General features: G+C 39.6%; 1 pseudogene across 1 annotated transcript; it reads right to left on the bottom strand.

The window, feature by feature from the left end:
- Positions 1 to 1,457: 1,457 nt before the first annotated feature.
- ANAPC1P6 (ANAPC1 pseudogene 6) lies at positions 1,458 to 8,251 on the bottom strand (annotated as a pseudogene). Its single transcript, NR_157576.1, has 4 exons — positions 8,127 to 8,251; positions 6,837 to 7,057; positions 5,553 to 5,762; positions 1,458 to 1,545 (listed from the first exon to the last, which is right to left on the bottom strand). The product of NR_157576.1 is annotated as an ANAPC1 pseudogene 6 (transcript).

Genomic DNA, 8,251 nt, shown 5'->3' with positions numbered 1-8,251 from the left:
TTTATCATTACTCTCTTGAAACTTTACACAGCTAAATAATAAAATAAAAAAGAAACTTGATACATGCAATAACCTGTATGGTTGTATTAAAAGTATTATGCTGAACAGAAAAAGACAATCTCAAAAGTTTACATACTGTATGAGCCCATTTATAAAACCTTCACAAATGCCAAATTATCAAGATGGAGAATTAGTGGTTACCAGGATCAGTGGGTAACGGTGTATGTGACTATAAGGAGTTAACGTAAGACAGATAAAGATGTTTTGTATCTTGATTGTGGTGGTATTTACACACATCTACATATGTGAAAAAACTGCATAGAACCATACATACACATAAATGAGTACATGTCAAATTGATGAAATTTGAAATAACGTGTGTAGATCATCTATTTCCTGGTTATGATAATGTATTATAGTTATATAAGAGGTTACCTGTGAGGGAAAAAGAATGCAAGGTACACAGGACTTGTTTACTATTTTGTAACTTCCTGTGATCTATCGTATTTCAAAATATGAAGGGAAATAAACGGGCAAAAGATCTGAATAGATATTTTACCTAAGAAGATAAATGAATGGCTAATAACTTCATGAGATGATCAACATCAGAATGCATTAGAGAAAAGCAAATTAAAGCCACTTCACAACCACTGGAAAATAGCTACAATCAAAGAGTGTGATGATATCCAATCCTGTCAAGGATAAAGAGACATTAACCTTCATATTTTGCTGGTGGGAATATAAAATGATACAGGCTATTTGGAAAACAGTTTGGTGATTTCTTAAAAAGTTAAACATGAATTTACCATTCAACCCAACGACCCAATCCTAGGCATTTACTCAAGAAAAATAAAATCACATATGTCCACATTTTTGCTCAAGACCTTTGTTCAAATGTTCATACTGTCCTAATTCTCAGCAGTCAAGAGGTGGAAATAAATCAAAAGTCCGTCAGCTGATGAACAGATAAACAAAACATGGTGGTAGATCTATACAATGGACTATTACATAGCAATAGGTATGAAATAATGATACATGTTACAAAATGGTGGATCCTAAAAACATCACGCTAAGTGAAAGCTAAACACAAAAAGCTACACTGTGTGTACATACATTATATATATATAAATGTCCAGAAAAACTAATCTATAAAGGCAGAAGCCTAGCATGGTTGCCTGAGGCTGGAAATGGGAACAAGACTGACTACTAACAAGCACAAGGAAATCTTTTTATGGTGATATAAATCTTGTAAAATTGGGTCATGGTGATGGTTGTAGAACACTGTAATTTACTAAAAATCATTTAATTGTACAGTTAAAACATGTTAATTTTATGACATGTAAATTATTTCTAAATAAAACTACTTAAGCCAAAAAAAAGGAAAGAAAAGAAAAAGAAAAAGCAGTGCTGAGTTATTTATACAGAAACAATGGGAAATACATCCACCTACCGTAAGTGGAGCTGGGACTCTACTAAAAAGCACAGGAATTTTGCCCACATAGGTCAGATGTAATAAACACTTTTGAGGCTTGTGAATTTTTCTCTCTATAATAGATACATTAATAAAGTAACTGTCAGCACTGGTCCAAGAATCTACCACAGTAACTATTAAAAGTCTTTGAGGCCGGGCGCGGTGGCTCACACCTGTAATCCCAACACTTTGGGAGGCCGAGGCGGGCAGATCACGAGGTCAGGAGATCCAGACTATCCTGGCTAACACGGTGAAATCCCGTCTCTACTAAAAATACAAAATAAATTAGCCAGGCATGATGGCGGGCGCCTGTGGTCACAGCTACTCTGGAGGCTGAGGCGGGAGAATGGCATGAACCCAGGAGGAGGGGCTTGCAGTAAGCCAAGATCGCGCCAGTGCACTCCAGCCTGGGCGACAGAGCCAGACTCCGTCTCAAAAAGAGAGAGAGAGAGAAAAAAAAAAGTCTTTGAAAATATTCTGCAAGAAATCTAAAAGCTACTTAGGTCAAGCAATAATCTCAAAGACACAAACATTTCTAAGAATTAAACTTCATGATCTCTAAGATCCTTTCAGTTCTTTGATTATGAGCTCATTACACAGCTTTGTTGGGGAAAGCTACAATAAATTTAACAATTACTGATGAACTTTTAAATTACATACTATGTAAGCTCCCTACTTGTAATGCAAACTAAGCCACCTACTTGTAAAGTGATGCATGCAAACTTGAATTCCTATCCCGCAAAGGGCCAGATCTTTCATAATGCTATTTCTCCTCTCTACCCCCTCTCCTTCTCAGATTAGGCCTCATTCACATCTCTTTTTGAAATCGTATCTCTAATTCCCAAACCCTTCCTTCTAAAGTGCTACAGAAGGCCGGGTGTGGTGGCTCACGCCTGTAATCCCAGCACTTTGGGAGGCCGAGGCCGGCAGATCACCTGAGGTCAGGAGTTCAAGACCAGCCTGACCAACATGGAGAAACACTGTCTCTACCAAAAATACAAAATTAGCCAGTAATCCTGTAATCCCAGCTACTCAGGAGGCTGAGGCAGAAGAATCAATTGAACCTGGGAGGCAGAGGTTGCGGTGAGCCGAGATCGGGCCATTGCACTCCAGCCCGGGCAACAAGAGCGAAACTCTATCTCAAAAAATAAATAAATAAATAAATAAATAAATAAATAAATAAATAAAGTGCTACAGAAGACCCATAAATCTAAAAAATAAGAATCTATAATATATTCAACTTACAAATAAGTTATTTAAAGAAAAATGATCTATAATTGTAGGATACTTTTATTTGATATATGAGAAACAAGCCAGAGAGACTACTTCAACATTGTATCCACATCTTTACTTTCTTCAGACTACCTATCCCCATTTCATTCTCTCTAAGATTATGCATTTGCCTTCCATTTCAGATAAAACGAGGCTCTAAGGCTTGAGCTCAACCTCCTGCCTTACATATCCGATCAACCTTCACTTCTTTATCCCAAGGCTAATCTCACCACTTGTGCACCTTTCTGGTTACTTGTTCCATCAATCGTTTCCTCTCTTCTGTATTTTCAATACTTTCCCTTGAGTATAGTCCGTATAGCCTACTATTTCACATTAAAAGTCTTAATATAAAATGGACTCAACATTAGAGTATATAAAAGACCTTCTCAATTCGACTGGATATAAAACTTGTATTGTGGTTAGGTAAGAAAATATTGGGGGCCAGGCACAGTGGCTCACACCTGTAATCCCATTACTTTGGGAGGCAGAGGCAAGCAGGTTGCTTGAGCCCAGGAGTTTGAGACCAGCCTGGGCATCACGGCAAAATCCTTTCTCTACAAAAATTAGTCAGGCGTGGCGGTGTGTGCCTATAGTCCCAGCTACCTGGGAGGCTGAGGTTGGGGAATCACCTGAGCCCAGAAGGCCAAGGCTGCAGTGAGCTGTGATTGAGTCACTCACTGTACTCCAACCTGGGTGACAGAGTGAGACCCTGTCTCAAAAAAAAAAGAAAAAGAAAATACTGGGGCAAGATGTCATGAAAACTAATTTTATTATAGTCCAGCAAAAACAAAACTCTCCTTGACCAAGACTCCCTCTAATTTTGTATCTTCATTCCTATTCAAAGGCAAACTCCTTAAAGAGTCTGTATGCCTATGTTCATTTCCTCAGTCCCCATTTACTTTTTCTACCCCACTTTCCCCCGCCACCCTCCCAGCTTAAAATGCTCTGGCCAAGGTCACCAAGGAACCCACTGCCACCCAGGTACCTCCTCTCTGGGTTCAACTCTCAGGGCCACACTTCACCAGTACCTGGCAATACTGGCATCTCTGTATTCTTGAAATGTTCTTTTTTGTATTCTGTATTTCCTGCTGCTTCTCCCATCTGACCTCTTTTGCTTTGTCTCTCTGCGCCAGCTTTGTCTCTTTCCATTCCCCAAATCTTAAGTTTCCAGGACTTCAGTTCCTAGCCCTCTTCTCATTCTACACCACTGGATTTTAACTATTTGGAGGCCACAAATCCCTTTGAGAATCTAAGGAATGTTAAAACCCTCTCCTTGGGAAAAGGCTTATATGCTACATGTACACACAATTATTGAATACAATATTTCTTCAATTCTAATCTAATTCTCTTACCTCAATCACCACTTATAAGCTGACAATTCCACATTTATTGTTCTGCTCTTTCCCAAACTTCCAACACACTTATAAAGTGCCTTCTTACCGCTGTCATCAAACAGACCAGAGGCCTAAAGGGCAATCAGTAATCGCTCAAGCCTCCTTTTTTTTTTTTTTTTTTTGAGACAGTCTCACTCTGTTGCCCAAGCTGGAGTACAGTGGTGTGCTCTTGGCTCACTGCAACCTCCAACTCCCAGGTTCAAATGACTCTCTCACCTCAGCCTCCAGAGTAGCTGGGACCACAGATGCACGCCATCATGCCTGGCTAATTTTTGTATTTGTAGTAGACATGGGGTTTCACCACGTTGGGCAGGTTGGTCTTGAACTCCTGAGCTCAAGTGATCCATCTGCCTCAGCCTCCCAAAGTGAGTGATTACAGGTGTGAGCCACTGCACCTAGGAAGCCTCCTCTTCATTAGCCTTTTCCCTCCCCTCTGCAAAAACCAGAGTGGGAGTACTTATAATTCCCTAAATACACCACGCACTCACCAGAACTTTTGTTCTGATCCCAGCTGCCGTCTGTGGTCTTTCTCAACTTCCCTGCCTAGCGAATACCTATTCGTCTTTCAAAGCCCTACCAGCAAAAGTAGTCCCTCCTGTGTCACCATCCTTCAGCTATCTGCCTCTTTTGAGGACAGGGACAGTGACTTATTAGACTGTTAACTAGCACACACATTGGCATATAAATTAACACGTGAATTATTAAAGAGAATATAAAAGAAGAAAGGTCACCCAGAACAGAGATCTAAGCTATGTTTCCCAAAAAGTAAAGCTGGCACTCAACTAACATGAACATAAAACTTAGGAAACGTGCTAAAACCCCACATTTCCTCACGGATGGAAATTAACTGTTTCTCCCCAGAACAAAAAACACCCGAAAAATGAGAGATTATTACTATAAAGGAAGAAATATCAGATGACAAAATAATATTTTTATGACGACTTTTTTTTTTTGAGATAGTCTCACTCTGTCACCCAGGCTGGAGTGCAGTGGCACGATCTCAGCTCACTGCAAGCTCAGCCTCCTGGGTTCAAGCAATTCTGCCTCAGCCACCTGAGTAGCTGGGATTACAAGTATGCACCACCACACCCAGTTAATTTTTGTATTTTTAGTAGAGACGGGGTTTCACAATGTTGGCCAGGCTGGTCTCGAACCCCTAGGCTCAAGTGATCTACCAGCTTCAGCCTCCCAAAGTGCTGGGATTACAGGCATGAACCACCGCGTCCAGCCTATGATCACTTTAATCTCATTAATATCCTCTACTGAAACTGAGGTGGCCTTAATACATATCTCTATATATTTTTACATATATTAATAACTGATCACATTAAAAGGAAACTTTAAACAAAATGCCATATATTTCCCAAGACTTTCAGCAACATTTTTCTTTGAATATAATAATATATATAACAAACCTTATATTAGTAATCATTTCTGTCCACAAATGGTCAATACACAGTTCAGGAACAATTGGCTCCGTTTCTGGTGCAAGAAAGGAGTCATTAGAATTACTATTTGGAGAATGAGAAATACTATGTCTCTTTGGAGACTGATTATGGCTTGAAATGTTGAACCTTTGCACCCCTGAAAAAGAGTGCACTCCTAACGCAGGAGAATGAGCACGACTGCAAAATAAACAGAGGAGAGAGTACATCGCAGTTAGCAGGGCAGGCTTATATGACACACACTCCAATGACACTTCCCAAAATTCCACAGACAGAAGAGCATTCATGGCATAATCCAGGTCAGAAATTAAAATTTTTCAAAAAGGAGTAGCTATTTAAATGCTTCATGTCAATGTGCTTTACTATATTCTAAAGATTTAGAATTATTGTTAGAAGAACTCATCTTTTACAACTAAAACTTAGATCATCTTCTTTTTCGGAAAATGAACTGATTATTCAAAAAGCTCTAAACTATGTCCCTGTATAGTCAGACATATATATATATCAACAAAACAATGTCCCTGCAGCACCAGATATACATATCTGGTGATTTAAGTATATATCTATATAGAGAAATAGATACATTTAGATATCAAATAACAAGAAAAAAAAGAAAAACTAACATAAATTAAGGCAAAAATAAAATAGTGCCACAATATTTTGGGAATTAATATTCATCAAACCGTTGCCCACATAGTGGTAGAAATGAGGCAACTAACCTTAGGACAAGCATAGGCAGCTTCAAAATATGACTCAGGAAAGAATGTGACATGGTAAACTTAGAAATCTTAGTAAAAGTGGCTCAGGGCTGAGCACGGTGGCTCACGCCTGTAATCCCCACACTTTGGGAGGCCGAGGTGGGCGGATCACAAGGTCAGGAGATGGAGACCATCCTGGCTAACACGGTGAAACCCCATCTCTACTAAAAATACAAAAAAAAAAAAAAAATTAGCCAGGCGTGGTGGCAGGCGCCTGTAGTCCCAGCTGGAGGCTGAGGCAGGAGAATGGCGTGAACCCGGGAGGCGGAGTTTGCAGTGAGCCAAGATTGTGCCACTGCACTCCAGCCTGGGTGACACAGCAAGACTCCGTCTCAAAAAAAAAAAAAAAAAAAAAGTCTCAATTGGGATAATGGCTATTTCCCCTAAAAAAAACTCCCCTAAATATATTTCCCCTAAAAACAGCTGTCAACAGCAATTCTAAATCCTTCAAAACAAAACAGAAAGCTTAGAAAGAAAAACCAGGAAACCCTTCTACCTTAGAGCTGCCATGTTGGAAATAGAAGGTGAGCGAGAATGTAGACTGGGTGATGAGGTTGAGCGACTCTGGCTGTGAATGGAGGAGTAATTCCGGAAAGGTGAAATCACAGGGGAATCTCCTTTGGAGAGGCTTCTGAGATGTGCTGTGAGGGAGCTGCTAGTGGCCACATTCTGTGGGGTTCCCCCCTGTTCAGAGAACTTTAAAACAACATTCTCTTCCTTAAGTCAAAATAAAAAGAAAGAGGAAAAAAAAACAATAATTAGAATAAAATAGCAATTTCCTTGTAAGAATGCAAGTTGAAGTCAGTTACTAAAGACACAGTATTTCTTCTTTCCTAAGAAGCTCAATCTATTTCTCAAATGAGGCCAGGTGCCATGGCTTACATCTATAATCCCAGCACTTTGGGAGGGTGAAGAGAGAGGATAGCTTGAGCCAAGGAATTCAAGACCAGCCTGGGCAACATAGCAAGATCCCATCTCTACAAAAAATTAAAAATTAGCTGGGAGTGGTGGTACACACTTGTAGTCCTAGCTACTCGGAAGGCTGAGGCAGGAGGATCACTTGAGCCCAGGAGTTCAAGGCTGCAGTGAACTGTAATTGTGCCATTATACTTCAGCCTGGGTGACAGAGTGAGGCCCTGTCTCTAGAGATGATGATGATGATGATAATAATAAAACAACTATTCACAAGTGATTCTTCCAAAAAAAAAAATGTGAGGGTATGAAGTATTAACTACTCTTTCATATATATATATATATATATATATATACACACACACACACACACATATACATACATATATACATACCTATATACATATATACATACATATATACACATATATACATATATATACATACATATATATACACACATATATACATATATACATACATATATATATACACATATATACATACATATATATATATATACATACACACACACACATTTTTTTTTTTTTGAGATGGAGTCTCATTCTGTCACCCAGGCTGGAGTACAGTGGCACGATCTTGGCTCATTGCAACCTACACCTTCCAGGTTCAAGTGATTCTCCTGCCTCAGCCTCCCGAGTAGATAGGATTACAGAAGCCACCACACCTGGCTAATTTTTTATACTTTTGGTATAGATGGGGTTTCACCACGTTGGCCAGGCTGGTCTTGAACGTCCTGACCTCAAGTGATCCGCCTGCCTTGGCCTCCCAAAGTGCTAGGATTACAGGTGTGAGCCAGTGCACCCAGCCTACCCTTTCCTATTAAGGAGAAGTGACTTGCCTTTCTCCTTACCTCTGATTTGACTCTCCGGAGAGTCCACACAGAATGCACATTTTGAACAGCATCATAAGTCGTTACAATAGAGGGGTCAGTATTGAGGAAAACAATTTTCATTGCATGATCTACAACATATTGTA

The sequence above is a fragment of the Homo sapiens genome, chromosome 2 (assembly GCF_000001405.40).
Source record: "Homo sapiens chromosome 2, GRCh38.p14 Primary Assembly".
Lineage (NCBI taxonomy): Eukaryota > Metazoa > Chordata > Mammalia > Primates > Hominidae > Homo > Homo sapiens.
Note: the sequence above shows the minus strand (reverse complement) of the source record. Positions and strands in the feature narration are given on the sequence as shown.